We start from the raw sequence: 16,286 nt of genomic DNA, 5'->3' as shown, positions 1-16,286 counted from the left end.
GCTGTCAGGAACCTTGGCAGACCCGTGCTCATGATTCTTATTAATAAGGTTGATATTTACATAAATATCAGCTGTTCATTGATAATGCTGCCAACACACAGGGCATAGACTCTTTTCTTTAGGATAACACAGACAGATTTATCTTAATGCAACAATTTGTTATTTGAACAAACATGTTTATTGCAAGGCCAGTGAAGTGAAACCCAAAGGTTTTCTTGTTTGAATTTCCCAGGGGGCAGTTTGTAATAGCTGCTGGAAGAGACCATTCCATGGCTTCTAATACAGTGCAATGCTGGCAACCAATATTCTCTCCTCCATCTCAACTTTGGCTCTTAACTGCCCACACCTCCTTTTTGCTCAACATGAAGAATGGTTGTTGTTACCTGCCCAATCCGTGCTTCCAACTTGCCTAGAAAAAACCTGATTCAAGTTTTGAGGAATAAACTCCTAAAGACTCTAGATCTTCAGTTACACAAAGGAGCTCACACCTAGAGTGGATTTTGCAAATATTAAAACAGTTATCCCAACACTAGTTTGCTTTCATGCCAGTACTTGTGTGGCAGCCCCCAGTGGGGCCATAATAACCTTCAGAATGGAGCAGCTTTGCCCAACCTCCTGCTGTGCTCAAGACTTCGGGTTCTGCATGTGTGTTTCTGGCTGACTCTTGCTGTCTCATAGCTCTTGCTGCCACTGTGAGCTGCTGCCTTCTCCATGGTCTGAGTGGGCTTCTTTCAAAAAGCTGCTTGGTCTGCTTATGTGGGGAGACTTCAAATCACCAGTTTCCTATTAAAGACTCCTGGCCTACAATCACAGGGTGAACAGGAATATACAAAAGTCAGGGAAGGTATTTCACAAAGACTAGATCTGTGTACCCACAGTCGGTCTGCTTCATTTTTACAGCACTTAGTCTCCCAAGCCTCAACCTCACACTTTTTTCCTCCACTGGCACCTGTAGTGCCATAAGCAGAGGGCATTACATTGCTTTTTCCTTTCAACTGCTCTTGCCAATCTGCTATGCTCTGGCAGAACTTAGTGGTAGATGGAAAGGTTATTTTTGATGACAGGGCTTAGCAACATTCCCTAAACAGAAAACCTCTCTCCTATACACTTATAGCACTGCAAAATACTTTTAATATAATTTAGTCACTGATCTCAGAAAAAGGAGAAAGTTGGCTTTGCAAATTATTGTCTTTCATAGCCAAGTAAATGAACAAACCCAGAGGAAGCACAGTGTCCCTGGGGTCATGAATTTAGTCAAACACGGAGTAACTACTGAATGCAAAGCATGGCGGAGGACACAGAATGCAGCTTGGCATTGTCCTTGCCTTCAAAGAATTAATAGTTTAGTAATGGAAGTAGGAAAAACACAAAAAATATAAAACAATATGGAATATAAAAAGTGTTACAAGAGACGTACAGATAAAATACTGGAGTAATTTGAAGAAAAGAGAGATCTCACACCTGTGGAGAAGCAGAAATCACGCTGATGAGGATCCAATTTCTTCTGTGCACATCTTAGGCTACTTTCACTTCTCTTTCCTTATTATCCCATTTCCAAGGATATTTAGTTATCCTCTTAACACCCGAGAAATGCAAATCAAAACCACAATGAGATACCATCTCATACCAGTTAGAATGGCGATCATTAAAAAGTCAGGAAACAACAGGTGCTGGAGAGGATGTGGAGAAATAGGAACACTTTTACACTGTTGATGGGACTGTAAACTAGTTCAACCATTGTGGAAGTCGGTGTGGTGATTCCTCAGGGATCTAGAACTAGAAATACCATTTGACCCAGCAATCCCATTACTGGGTATATACCCAAAGGATTATAAATCTTGCTGCTATAAAGACACATGCACACGTATGTTTATTGTGGCACTATTCACAATAGCAAAGACTTGGAACCAAGCCAAATGTCCAACAATGATCGACTGGATTAAGAAAATGTGGCACATATACACCATGGAATACTATGCAGCCATAAAAAATGATGAGTTCATGTCCTTTGTAGGGACATGGATGAAGCTGGAAACCATCATTCTCAGCAAACTATCGCAAGGACAAAAAACCAAACACTGCATGTTCTCACTCGTAGGTGGGAATTGAACAATGAGAACACATGGACACAGGAAGGGGAACATCACACACTGGGGCCTGTTGTGGGGTGAGGGGAGCGGGGAGGGATAGCATTAGGAGATACACCTAATGTTAAATGATGAGTTAATGGGTGCAGCACACCAACATGGCACATGTATACATATGTAACTAACCTGCACATTGTGCACATGTACCCTAAAACTTAAAGTATAATTAAAAAAACAAAAACAAACAAAAAACATCCCAACCCCTCCTGTGTTGGACTGGATCAGAGAGTGCATGTGTTACTTTGAAGGGTATATTTATTTCCACCACAATCAAGAATTCCAATGGAAGTACTTCACCGAAAGCAAGGTTGTGAGAGTCTCTTCAGTTGCTGCCTCTCTGCATTTTTCTTTGCTTCTTCTAACCCGATCTACTTTACCTGAGGCCACTGCTACCTGCCTGCAAAGCTGGACTGCTCCTCCCGCCAAATATCAAAGCTTCTTCCCACAAAAGTCTCTGGTCCTGGTCTGTGTCCTCAGTCAACGAAGTCAATGCACTCCCTCTCCTCATAGGCAGTGGGGAGCTGTCATTTTAGCTGTAGTATTAACTGTCCCTCAGTAAAGGAAAGTAGGACATTACCTGTGCCTGGGATTCTTTCTCAGTCTTAGTATAACGCTGTCTCAGAAAGTAACTGGTTACTACCACTCAGGAGAGGCTAATACATGTGTTTACTTTTCACCATAGTCTAATGAGAATTCCAGTATGTACCACCCAGCTCCAGAGGCCCCCAGGTACAAAAGTGGTCAAGGTACTCCAAAATCTGAAGGCTGCTATCCTACATGCATGCAAGTGAGATGCCACTGTCATCACACACTTTCTTCTCTGTTCTCCATATACCTGGGCTAAAAAACTGACCACTAACACACAAGGAAGCTAAATCTTGGTCAACCACTCCACCAGGAATGGAAGAATCAGGAAAAACTGATCTTCCTCATGAACTGCCTGAAAGAATTCTCTTCAAAAGACACCAGGACACCTTCTCCACAGCACTTCACCAGAATATGCAGCAAGGCGATACTAACCTTGCGAGGTCTCACACTCCACCAGATATCTTAGTGATGCTATTTCTCATCATCTTGGTATTCTCAGCTACCAACAAAAATGTAAGCCTCAAGGGTCAATAGTCCTTTCATTTACTGTATTTTCATTCCTGTATAATTTTGCATTCTTCCCTCTGATTCTTCCCTTCCTCTCTGACTTGCCTCCAAATCCTTCCCATGGTGTGCTCTGAATCTCTCTGAAGACATGTAGAACCATGCAAAAGCACAGCTTTGCAGCCAGGCTGAACTGGATTTAATGATTCAAATGTGGACTTGCTGTGTAATCTTAAATGCATATGGCCTCACTGTGCCTTATGACCTAATCTGTAAAATCCAGATGATAGTAATTACTTTGCAGGGTCTGATAATATTATAATGTATAAGACAGCCAAGTATAGTACATGGTACATTCTAGGTGTTCAACAAATGACAAATATTGCTATTTTTGGGACTACTACATTTTACCCTTTTCACAGACTCCTCATTCTAAGTCCTGTTCTATCTCTTGTCCAACCCTTTCCTCAGGATGTACAACCCTTGAATATCTCAGGAGAAGGCTACTTGTGCCCCCAGAGCCCACACACCAAAATCTGAGTGGCAGCATTGTCCCAGCCCACCATGCCACTTCCAGGCCATTCCTTTCCATTCTCTTATCAAAATACCTCTGCTCTCACGGCTCATGCCACACTTGCCCACTCCTCAGTTCTGCCTCTCCTCATCATTGCACTTTCTTTAATAAGGACTTTGACAACTGTGTCAAACTTTTTTCTCTCCTAATTCCCTCCCAGTTGTGGTTAGTCTCAACTTGAGCATGGATGATCTTTATAACACTGTGGCTTCAGAATTCTTCAACTCCAAAACCCTCTGCCCACTCTCAGCAACTCAGTTCCATAACCACACCTGGAATGTTCTACCGCTGCATACTTATGATACTTTACCATACTTAAGTGGTTCAAATGTCTGGCTCTCCTTGGTGGCCTGTTAGGTTCCCACTGCTACAGAACATATCTTATGAGAGGTTTTAATCTTATCCCTAGGACAGTGTCTGGCACACGGTGGGTATTTAATAAATATTTATGGAATGAATAACATGGTATATTTATATAGTTTTCTAGAGATAATCTTGTTTGCTTATCACCTTAGGAAGACAGAAACATTATTGTAATTCCCCTGTGTAAACAGGGAAATGAGGCTCAGAAAAGTTAAATGACTTAGTTAAGGATACATAATTAGACCGATACAAATACTTTTATATCACCTAGAGGCTGGCAGGGGCTTTTCCTACCATCCTAGCTACAAGATCAGCTCTCTTCTTCCTCTACCTTCCTTACCCTTGTATACTTGTTTCTTATAAAATCTTATCAGAAAATTTGGAAAGTGATAGCTTACTCGTTTAATGCACATATGCATAATTCTGATAGGATTATGCATCTCTGTGCTTTAAAGGGTGTACTGAAATGAGACTCTTGGTATCTTTTTAAAGGAACTATGTAATGTTATATTTGATTGCTCCTAGTGTGCGTACTAAGATGATAAATATTCAGTCTATTACCTACATTAAGTCAATTTCAAAACTAAAAAATGCAGAAATCCAGTATTGTATTCTCTGATTAATTCAATCCTGCATTTAAGCTTCCTGAAAAAGCCTGCAGAATGACAGTTCAAAACTTCTCTGGGTTACAAATGAAAAATGATCATTGGTAGAAATTTGAAAACTCCCTTTTAATATATAAAGAAGAGTTCTGCAATCAGGAAAGCAAAAACCTGCTGAATCACTCTACTCCACATCCCATGCATGGCTGAATCCAACACCATCTTAACTGGCATTATTTATAATCCCAAATTGAGAAGTATCTAGTTCCAGGCAATGAATCAAAAATATTTCTTATCAGCTGGAATCTTTAAAAATGTTTTCCTAGTTTAAGGAAGCCATTTGAGATCCCTAAAATATTTTCCTAGTTTAAGAAAGGCATTTTTAAAAACAGATCCTTGCTAATGGTTTGTTTTCATGGTGAGTTTCCACCTCTGTATACGGCAATGACATTCAACATTCTTCAGAAGGCACTGCTATGCTACACAGTGAGGCATGTAAAGTTTTCAGGGCTGTAGGTACTTATACTCCAGTAGGGAAGAAATATATGCACAAAAATAACTTCCTTGCATGTACTGGTATTGATTAGCAGCAAGAGCCGAAGTTCAATTATGAATAATACAAATAAAACTTATAGAGTCAGTCAATTATAGCTAACAATTCTTGAGTGCTTGCTATCTGCCTGGTACCATGCTGAATACTTTAATACACTAACTTATTTAATTTCAAGAATCCTGTGAGGTAGCCATTCTAGTCATCATGTTACAGATGAGAAAGTTTAGCCTGAGAGAAGTTCAGTAACTGGCCTAAGGTCAAAGAGCAGTTTAAATGGTGGAAATGGCATTCAAATATAGGGTTTTTCACTCTAAAACACAGTGCTTGTTTCTTTACTTCTCGTTACCTCCTTCTACTGAAGCTTATCATCACCAATACAGGTACCGTGTAGTTTGTTTTTTTACCTGTCATAAAATGTGAATCTGCTAACTGGTGAGGGAATCACAGGGAGGCTTTCAGCTGGCTGTGCTGCAAGCAGTACAGACTCCAGTGGGTTGGCAATAACAAATTACAGCACAGCCAAGAGTCAAAGTAGTCCCTGACCTATGATCTTGTTGCTATTCTTGTTTTACTAGATTTTTCAAATAGCAATGTGGCACGTACCATTACTATGCCTAGCTAAACATTAAAAATCACTATTACCTTGTCAGATATGCTACCGTTGATGAAATTTTAAAAAACCAACAAAATAAATGATAAGAGTTTCTACTGAGTAAAAATATAACACAAAGCTATTCAGAAAAAGTGCAACAAAGCCATTGCAACTTAGAAGGTAGCAAGTATCCAGCTGAGTATTTTGTTGAAATGGAGGCCTAATCCTGGGCTAGGAAAAATTTAATAACCAAGTAGTCTTTGTGATATTTGCCAAATAACGAAGAATATTCAAATCCAGAACTAATTATTAGAGTCTATTAATGGTGCTGAAAATAACCTAATAGTTTAGAAAATATTCATGACGTACATGTTCACAAATACATGGCTTTAAAAACAGAGTGCAATCTCACTTTTAGATGTAAATCCAACAAAACATGTATATATATAGGCTTGTATACTGAAAACTACAAAATGCTCATGAAAGACATCAAATATCTAAAAATAGAGAGATATACTGTGTTCGTGGATTAGAATACCGGGTTGTCCCTCCATATCCACAGAAGATTGGTTCCAGGACTCCCTTCAGATACCAAAATCTGAGGATGTTCAAGTCAGTGATATAAAATAGCACAGTATTTGCATATAATCCATGCAGATCCTCCTGTAGCCTTTAAAAAATGTCTAGATTACTTACAATATCTAATACAACAGTGGTTCCCAACCTTTTAGGCACCAGGGACTGGTTTTGTGGAAGACAATTTTTCCACGGATGGGATGGTTGGTGGTTTGGGGATGAAACTGTTCATCTCAGGGCAACTGGAATTAGTCTTTCTCATAAGGAGCATGTAACCTAGATCTCTCGCATGTGCAGTTCTGTAGTTCACAATAGGGTTTGTGCTCCTATGAGAATCTAATGCTGCTGATCTCACAGGAAGTGGAGTAATGACAGTAATGCTGGCTTGCCTGCTGCTCACCTCCTGCTTTGTGGCCTGGTTCCTAACAGGCCACAGAGTGGTATGATCTGTGGCCCAGGGTGTAATGCAATATAAATGCTATGTAAATAGTTGTTATACTGTATTGGCTTTCATTTAAAATTTTTTTATTTTTAATTTTTGTGGGTACATAGTAGGTGTATATATTTATGGGGTATATGAGATATTTTGATACAGGAAAGCAATGTATAATAATCACATCATGGGAAATAAGGTATCCATTCCCTCACACATTTATCCTTTGTGTTACAAACAATCCAATTATACTCTTTCAGTTATTTTAAAATGTACAATTAAATTAATTTGACTGTAGTCACTCTGTTGTGCTATCAAATACCTGGTGTTATTCATTCTTTCTTTTTTTTTTTTGTACTCCTTAACTAACCCCATCTCCTCCCCACCCCCTACTACTCTTCCCAGACTCTGGTAACCATCCCTCTACTCTCCATCAACATGTGTTCAATTATTTTGATTTCTACATCCTACAAATAAGTCAGAACATGTGATGTTTGTCTTTTTGTGCGTGGCTTATTTCACTTAACATAATGACCTCCAGTTCCATCCATGTTGTTGTAAATGACAGGATCTCATTATCTTTTATGGCTGAATAGTATCCATTGTGTTTAAGTACCACATTTTCTTTATCCATTCATCTGTTGATGGACACTTAGGTTGCTTCCAAATCTTGGCTATTGTGAACAGTGCTGCAATGAACATGGGAGTGTAGATCTCTCTTTGCTATACTGATTTCATTTCTTTGGGGTATGTACCTAGTAGTGGGATTGCTGGATCATATGGTAGCTCTAGTTTTAGTTTTCTGAGGAACCTCCAAACTGTTGTCCACAGTGGTTGTACCAATTTTCATTCCCACCAACAGTGTATGAGAGTTCCCTTTTCTCCACATCCTTTCCAGCCTGTGTTTTGGATAAAAGTCATTTTAACTGGGGTAAGATAATATCTCATTACAGTTTTGATGTGCAGTTTTCTGATGATCAATGATTTTGAGCACCTTTTCATATGCCTGTTTGTCATCTGTATGTCTTCGTTTGAGAAATGTCTATTCAAATCTTATGCCTATTTTTTAAATTGGATTATTCATTTTTTTCTTATGTAGTTGTTTGAGCTCCTTATATACTGCAGTTATTAATCTCTTGTCAGATGGGTAGTTTGCAAATATTTTCTCCCGTTCTGTGGGTTTCTCTTCACTTTGTTGATTGTTTCCTTTGCTGGGCAGAAGCTTTTTAAGTTGATGTGATCCCATTTGTCCATTTTTGCTTTGGTTGCCTGTGCTGGTGGGGTATTGTTCAATAAATTTTTACCCAGACCAATGTCTTGAAAAGTTTCTCCAATGTTTTCCTGTTTCAGTTTCAAAGTCTGAAGTCTTATATATTTAAGTCTTTAATTCATTTTGGTTTAATTTTTGTATTAGGCAAGAGATAGGGGTCAAGTTTCATTCTTCTGCACATAAATGTCCAGTTTTCCTAGCACCATTTATTGGAGAGACTGTCTTTTCTCCAATGCATGTTCTCGGTATGACTGTCAAAATTAAGTTCACTGTAGTATATTGTTTTTAAATATGTATTATTTTTAATTGTTTTTTAAATAGTTTTTAAAAAATATTCTTGATATGTAGTTGGTTGAATTCACGGATACAGAACCCAAGGGTATGAAGGGCCAACTGTGTTTAACATAGCAAACACGTCGATTTATCCCTAATTGATATATAGTGTTAATGGAATTCTAACTAAAATCTCCGCAAGATTTTTGTAGATATAGGCAAGATGATCTAAAATTTATATGGAAAGGGAAAGGTAAATAGAATAACTAAAACAGTGTTGAAAAAGAAGAGAAAGTGGGAGGAATCAGTGTACCTATTTCAAGACTTTTTTAACTATAGTAATCAAGACTGTATGTACTGGTAAAGGGATAGTCACATAGATCAATGAAAAAGAACAGAGAATCTGTGAACAGACCATGCAAATATGCCTGCCTGGTTTTTCACAACAGTGCAAAAGCAACTCAGCCAACAAAAGACAGCTTTTGGCCAGGCGCAGTGGCTCACTCCTGTAATCCCAGCACTTTGGGAGGCCGAGGCGGGTGGATCACGAGGTCAGGAGATCAAGACCATCCTGGCTAATATGATAAAACCCCGTCTCTACTAAAAAAACACACACACAAAATTGCCAGGTGTGGTGGCAGGTGCCTGTAGTCCCAGCTACTTGGGAGGCTGAGGCAGGAGAATGGCATGAACCCGGGAGGCAGAGCTTGCCGTGAGCCGAGATTGTGCCACTGCACTCCAGCTCGGGTGACAGAGCGAGACTGTCTCAAAAAAAAAAAAAAAAAAAAAAAAAAAAAGGCAGCTTTTCCAACAAATGGTGCTGGAGAAATTGGACATCCATAGGAAAAAAATGAATCTGAACTCAAGTCTACCACCTTAAACAAAAATGAATTCAAAATGGATCATGAAGCTAAATGTAAAACATAAAATTCTCTTAGAAAATAAGAGAAAATCTTTGGGATCTCTGTCTAGACAAAGAGTTTTTATACTTAACACCAAAAGTATAATCCATAAAAAAATTGATAAGTTACACTGTATCAAAACAAAAGACTTTTGCCACATGAAAGATCCTGTTAAGGGAATGAAAATAATATCTTGATATTGGGAGAAAATATACCAAACTACATATGTGAGAAAGGACAACCATTTAAAAAATATAAGGAACTCTTAAAACTTAACAATAAAGAACAATCCAATCAATTCAATTAGAAAATGGGCAAAAGACATGAGCCAGCATTTCATTCAAATGGATATATAGATGACAAGTGACGAAAAGATGTCCCACATCATTAACTGCTAGGGAAATGCAAATGAAAATCAAAATGAAATATCACTACACATCTATCAGAATTACTAAAATTAAAAAAATAGTGATGACACCAAATGTTGGCAAGGATGCAGGGAAATTACATCACTCATACATTGCTGGTAGGAATGTAAGTTGGTACAGTAACTCTATAAAACTACCATATGAACCCAGCAACTGCACTCCTGGGCATTCATCCCAGGGAAATGAAAACTTGTGTTCACACAACAACCTGTACACAAATCTTTATGGTGGTTTTATTTGTAATAGCCAAAAAATGGAAAAAACTCAGATGTCCTAGATAACTCTTCAGAAAATTGTGCTATGTGATAAGTGAAAAAAATGTCAATCCTAAAAGGTTACATGTTGTATGATTCTATTTATATACTGTTTTTGAAGTGACAAAATTATATAAATTGAGAAGTAGTGATTGCCAGGGTTTCAGGAGAGAGTAGGGGATGGGAGGAAAATGGTTGTGGCTATAAAAGGTGAACATGAGGGATCCTTGTGGTGACAGAAATGTTTTCTAAGCTGTATCAATGTAAATATACTGGTTGTGACATTCCACTACAGTTCTGTAAGATGTTACCATTGGAGGAAACTGGTTGAAGTGTATGTGGAATCACTCTGCATTATTCCGTACAAATGCATGTGAATCACAATTATCTCAAAGTAAAAAGTTTACTTAAAAAATTAAAAGTATATATTTTTTGTAAAAAAGTATATATTTTTTGTAAGAAAAATAATGTAAGTATATATTTTTTGTAAGAAAAAATATGTATCAAAATCTTTATCCCTAGGTGGTAGTATATCAGTGACTTTCATTTTCTCCTTCTGGATTATCTGACTTTTTCTAAAATGAACATACATTGTTTTGGTAACTAAAAAGTTACAGAAGACATCAGCTATAAAAACACAGAACTAATATCTAATGACATAAGCTGCTCAACTCAGTATATCTGGTAATATGTTAGGCCAGAGGTCCCTGTTTTGATTTTGAGATTTCTAAGTGTCTGATGACCAGTGCATAGAGTATGTTTAAAATGAGCTAACCTTTTCTTTTAAAATTTTACACTTCAATTTTTTCCATTCTGTATTCTATTTCTGCAGTTATCTAGTAACCTCTACTCCTTCAACGTATTTATGAAACCCCACAAATTCTCAATTTATGGAACCTTTAGCATCAGGCTGGATCCATAGGTAGTGAGAGTTATGTGTATCCAGGAGAATGTCATATTTATAGATAGCTAAACTGAATAGAATTTGACCAGAAAGTCCCCGCTGTTAACTCCTGGAATGAGTTTGTCTTGTGAGAAGAATGGAACCATGATCCCAATACAGAGGTAATAGATACTTCTGATCCTTAGTCACTTAATTCTAAAGGATGCTGAATGCAGGGAGATAAGACATGAGGACAAGGTAGGACCTCAGAGTAAGTATGAATATTTTTTTCTCTAAAGGGAGAACCTAAAATAATAATAGCAATAATGTATGTTTGCTCAGTGCATACTAGATACCAGGCGTTATTCTAGGAGCTTAACATGCATTGACTCATTTAACCCTCATAACTAGTGGCCTTCCAACTGGGGTATGTGTACTGGGCATGCAAATACAAGATATACACATGCAAGGGTATTTTAAGGAAATTTGTCTTTAGACCTTAACTTCCATTTGTACTTTATTTTTCAGCTGCCTGAGAATCCAACTACATTCATATTGGCTTTTCCATGTTAAAAAAAAGCCAAACTTCTCACTCAAAACAAATCTTATTACAGTTCATTATCTTGTATACCATTGTCTTTGGGGTAAACAGACTCCTGGAATCCAAAATATGCTATGACGGGAAATCTACTGGTTTCAGGGACACATGCTTTCATCAGGACATCTTTAGCCAGCATGTCAACTATTTCCAATCACAATCAATTCTTATTTAATACTGTTATAGAATATTTACTCTTTTCTACCTCCTATTTAACAAAAATAAACTTTGAAAGCCATGATAAAAAGTTTTAGATCCAACTTAAAAATGTGTGAGGAAGTATGCATTTTTTCTAAATTCTTTACAGAGTACATTTTTAAGGACCACTGCTCATAATAGCCCTATGAAATAGATATTAATATCCGCAACCCCATTTTACATATGTGGCACAAATAAGGTCCAGAGAGATCAAGCAACTTGCCCTAGGACAGATAGCTGGTAAAGATCAGCGTTAAGATTCTAACCTGAGAAATCTGACCCTAGAACCTGAGTTCTTAACCACCATGTTATATACTGCCTTTACAGTTTCAATTAATATTTACTCAGGCCCAACGTGGAATCGGAACAATGTACCTGTGAATCACGAGAGGAGACGCTGAGCAAATAATCCTGTCTTAAGGAAAATATTGGAAATATGTCTAGAAAAAGGATTTTACTCTGACTAATGATACTGGTAGAAAATGGTTAGTTTTCCATTATTTTTATTCTTGTCAGAGATGGCAGAAACAGGAATTTGGGATACTCAAGTGGCTGCAGATAAAAAGATTATGTGGGAAATTGAGAAGCTAGTTATACTTTTGTAATGTAAGTCAGGCACGTAAGTTAGAACATGGCTACACTTTTGGTGACAGAATAACTTATGATGCTTATGGCTGGGAACAGGGTAGAAGGCTTGTGCTGCAAAGCATTTATCAGCATGCATCTTTAAAACTGGCTGCTCTTGTTACCTAATTTCTTACACTTCTTCTTCCCTTACAAAACATGAGTCTTTCCAATCAAATTCCACAAAGTTCATTTATTAAAACATTTTGTTTTGGAAGAAGAAGGTGAACATACATACACATACATACATGCACACCCCTTAAAGGCAGGGTTTCTTTTTTCTTTTTTTTTTTTTTTTTTGAGACGGAGTCTCGCTCTGTCGCCTAGTCTGGAGTGCAGTGGCGCAATCTCGGCTCACTGCAAGTTCCGCCTTCCAGGTTCACGCCATTCTCCTGCCTCAGCCTCCCGAGTAGCTGGGACTACAGGTGCCCGCCACCATGCCCAGCTAAGTTTTTGTATTTTTAGTAGAGACGGGGTTTCACCGTGTTAGCCAGGATGGTCTCGATCTCCTGATCTCGTGATCCGCCCACCTCGGCCTCCCAAAGTTCTGGGATTACAGGCGTGAGCCACTGTGCCCGGGCCTAAGGTAGGGTTTCAGGAATGACATTTTCCAAATGACCTTGGGTTAAAATTACTTGTAATCCCAAGCTACTTTGAAATGTTTAACCTCTGCACTCATTTCAAGTTTTCTTAAAATATACTTTAGACTACATGGGATGGAATGAAGCAGGCAAGCTCTAGGGAGGATAGGAGATACCATATTCCTGAGGCCAGTCAGCCTGTCAGCACTGGCATACCTGCAGAGAGCTCCTAGGACAGTGGTGATCAGACAAGTTGTGCAGTTCTGATGGAGAGGTTTTCCTGAGCATTTGGGTGTCCTAATTAAATACAGCCTTATTTCATGATAGGAGTGACTCAGGGTCAAAGGCAATGGGAAATGCTACAGAGAACACGACTGCAACACCAGGAAGGCTTTGGAAAGGCAGAGGCTAGTGTTGCAGAGAAAGAGCCCAGGCAGGGGATTGCAGAACAGTTTCATAACCTACCACTGGGAGGGCCTGGGCAAGTCATGCATCTCTGTCGCCTGGTTTTGCTCTCAAAGACTATGACTCAGAAAATCAGAGGTGGAATTGCTTTCTCTAAATTTCTTAGAAAATGTTATAAGGTAGAGGAATAATCTCTTCCCTGAAAAATCACGACCAGCATGATTGAATCCCATGCTTGCATTCCCAGCTGCACTTTTCCAAAAGGTGTTTTCAATTATTTTCAGTGAGCTAATGTTCCCTTGACTATCTTAAAGACTCAGAAGATCGGGACAGTTAAATTTGAATCTTGAAGAAAACAATAGCAAACAGCTGCACAATGGACCCATGTGGACAAAGGTGCCTGGGGCCTTACTAGAAGGGGCATTCATAGAGTGCTTCATAGTTTAGGGAGGGACTGCCCTTGGAACAAGCCCTCCATGGAAGGAGCTCAGAAGGATCAGCTGCAGACAGTGAAGCAATGAGCTTTGAGATAAACATCAGTGAAGTTTTCTGTGGCTCCACGCACTCCTATCAGGAGAAAAGCTAGCTGGCTTTGCAGTTGCGGGGGAGTAGGGAAGATGAGTGTACTATTTCCTCCCTCCAATTTTGTTCAGTACTAGAGGAGGTCTTAGAGATCATCTGAGTCAATTCCTACAGTTCACAGCCTAGGAAACGGAAGACAAGACTTGCTCCAGGTCACTGAACTAGTAGGTGGCAAAAATGGAGACTAGAATCCAGTTGTTCCTAATATGACATTCTACTTAAAAAGCCTGACTAAATCTTCCTCAATTAGCCACGGGTGTCTTCTTTTCCAGATTATTAACGAGCAATGAATTCTTACTTCATACAAATGCCTATGAAATTTGTATTTATATTATACTACCTTTTCACTCAATGTAAGACATCAGTAAAGTGATTCAGTTATCAAATATCATATAAAGAACCATAATGGGAAATGCTTAGTTCTAGTCTGTTAAATTGTTCAGTTTTAGAAATGTTTCTGCTTCCTATCCTTTTTGCTTGACATGAGGCTTTGACTTATAGGTGGATGCAGAAAAATCTTCATATCTTCATCTCCATCTACTCTTTAGGGCTTTAAATTCAGTTAATCCATTACTTGCATAAAGTTAGTAAAAACAAAGAATATTTAATTTTGAAGAGTATTAGCTAGCATTGTTGAGTAGGAAAGAACAGGAAAACCAAGTAAATCTCTCTGGATGGTTTTGCTTGTGGATATGCGTGTAGTAATAGAAAATGCAACTGAACTCTAAATAATAAAATACTTCCTGTAGGGCAAATACAGCCAGAAAAATTGGAAAGCAGATCAATAAGATTACTACATATCTTTAAGCCACTGAAAACAAGAGCTAGACGTTGGAATGTATTAGCAAAGTAGCTATGTCTAGACACTTCATGTTAACTATATTATATAACTTTTACTCTTGGATACTTTACTGGTAGGGAAATGGATAAAATGATCCTCACTGATGCCTTCTAATACTGGTGCCTTACAGAGCAGAGGTGGGTAATGTCCTTATTTCATCAAAGGATACTTTCTCTCTGGAGAGTGTAAACCATGATTGATTCAAGTACATGCAAACAGTGACTTACTTAGTGCTTCTGAAAAATTTCTGAGTCAGAAGGACAAAAAATAAACATAACAAAAAACAAACATTTACATCACAAAAAGGAAAAAAAAGCTCACTAAATAAATACTACCCAGAGAAAGAAACTGGTTTCATATTGTAGTGAATTAAAAGATACAAAAAAGTGGGGCAGATAGAGAAGAGAGACAAAAATATGAAGAAAAAGAAATTACAAGGCACAAGGACAAGAAAATATGTCAGGATTAGCAAGAAAAATGGGAGACTCAAGGGAGTGATGAGGAGAAAAAGAAGAGAGAGAAAACTGCAGAGAAGGAGAGAAAGTGCAAGAACTTGATGTCTCTGTAAGACTGAGGAAACTGGTGTGCTTTGACACTTTTGAAAATGTAATCGTTTTCTCAGCAATTTATTATGAATTATTAATGTGCAGAATATTCATTTCCTACAAATATAAAGATTTTGAAATGATTCAGGTTTTAAAAGTTAATTTCAATCAGAAAATGAATAATTTAGTTATCCATATATTAGCTATATCTTCATATATTTCCTCTGACAATAATAACTTACTCATTTGCATTATTTGTAGTTTTGGGGGATCTAGGTATCTGTATTCCATAATGTCTGAGCGTTACACTGAAAACCTATATTAACTTCTGAAATGAAACTATTTTTTTCTGTATCAATTTAAGCTTTTGGTTTAGGTAAGGGATGTCCAAGGGACACATATAATGATAACTTCTCTGTTTCACTGCCTTTTCCATCCCAGCAAGCTCCCAAATTTCACTTTAAAAACCTACAAAAGTAGTTTAAAAAAATTATAGTTAGAGCCAGGTGCAGTGGCTCATGCCTGTAATCCCAGCACTTTGGGAGGCCGAGGCAGGCAGATCACTTCAGGTCAGGAGTTCCTGACCAGCCTGGCCAACATGGTAAAACCCCATCTCTACTACAAATATAAAAATTAGCCAGGCATGGTGGTGGGCACCTGTAATCCCAGCTACTTGAGAGGCTGAGGCAGGAGAATTGCTTGAACCCTGGAGGTGGAGGTTGCAGTGAGTCGAGATCTTGCCACTGCACTCCAGCCTGGGTGACAGAGTGAGACTCAAAAAAAAAAAAAAAAAAAAAAGTTGAAACAATAGGAGAAAATCTTTGTGAGTTTGTGTTAGGAAAAGATTCCTTAGGTACAATACCAGAAGCACAGTCCACAAGAGAACACTGATCAATTGGTCTTCTTCAAAAACTTTTCCTTTGTGAAAGACATTATTAATATAATGAAATGGCAAACCAAAGACTGGGGA

The 16,286-nt window shown here is 38.2% G+C and overlaps 2 protein-coding genes across 5 annotated transcripts in view, besides 1 other annotated feature; one reads left to right on the top strand and one right to left on the bottom strand.

Moving 5' to 3' along the window:
• Positions 1-16,286, bottom strand: part of CMSS1 (cms1 ribosomal small subunit homolog) — a 363,871-nt gene that overhangs the window by 77,786 nt on the left and 269,799 nt on the right. The gene's annotated exons all lie outside the window — the stretch shown is intronic.
• The window catches only part of FILIP1L (filamin A interacting protein 1 like), a 285,691-nt gene that overhangs the window by 10,555 nt on the left and 258,850 nt on the right, over positions 1-16,286 (top strand). The gene's annotated exons all lie outside the window — the stretch shown is intronic.
• Positions 13,274-13,774: an enhancer, noted in NCBI's record as "NANOG-H3K27ac hESC enhancer chr3:99809017-99809517 (GRCh37/hg19 assembly coordinates)". NCBI's record gives its function as "activates a minimal SCP1, AML or CMV promoter by ChIP-STARR-seq in primed H9 embryonic stem cells {active_cell/tissue: H9 hESC(primed)}" and the evidence as "EXISTENCE:reporter gene assay evidence [ECO:0000049][PMID:30033119]".

This window comes from Homo sapiens, chromosome 3 (assembly GCF_000001405.40).
Source record: "Homo sapiens chromosome 3, GRCh38.p14 Primary Assembly".
In the NCBI taxonomy this organism is placed as follows: domain Eukaryota; kingdom Metazoa; phylum Chordata; class Mammalia; order Primates; family Hominidae; genus Homo; species Homo sapiens.
The sequence above is the reverse complement of the archived record's forward strand: the minus strand, read 5'-3'. Positions and strand labels throughout refer to the sequence as shown.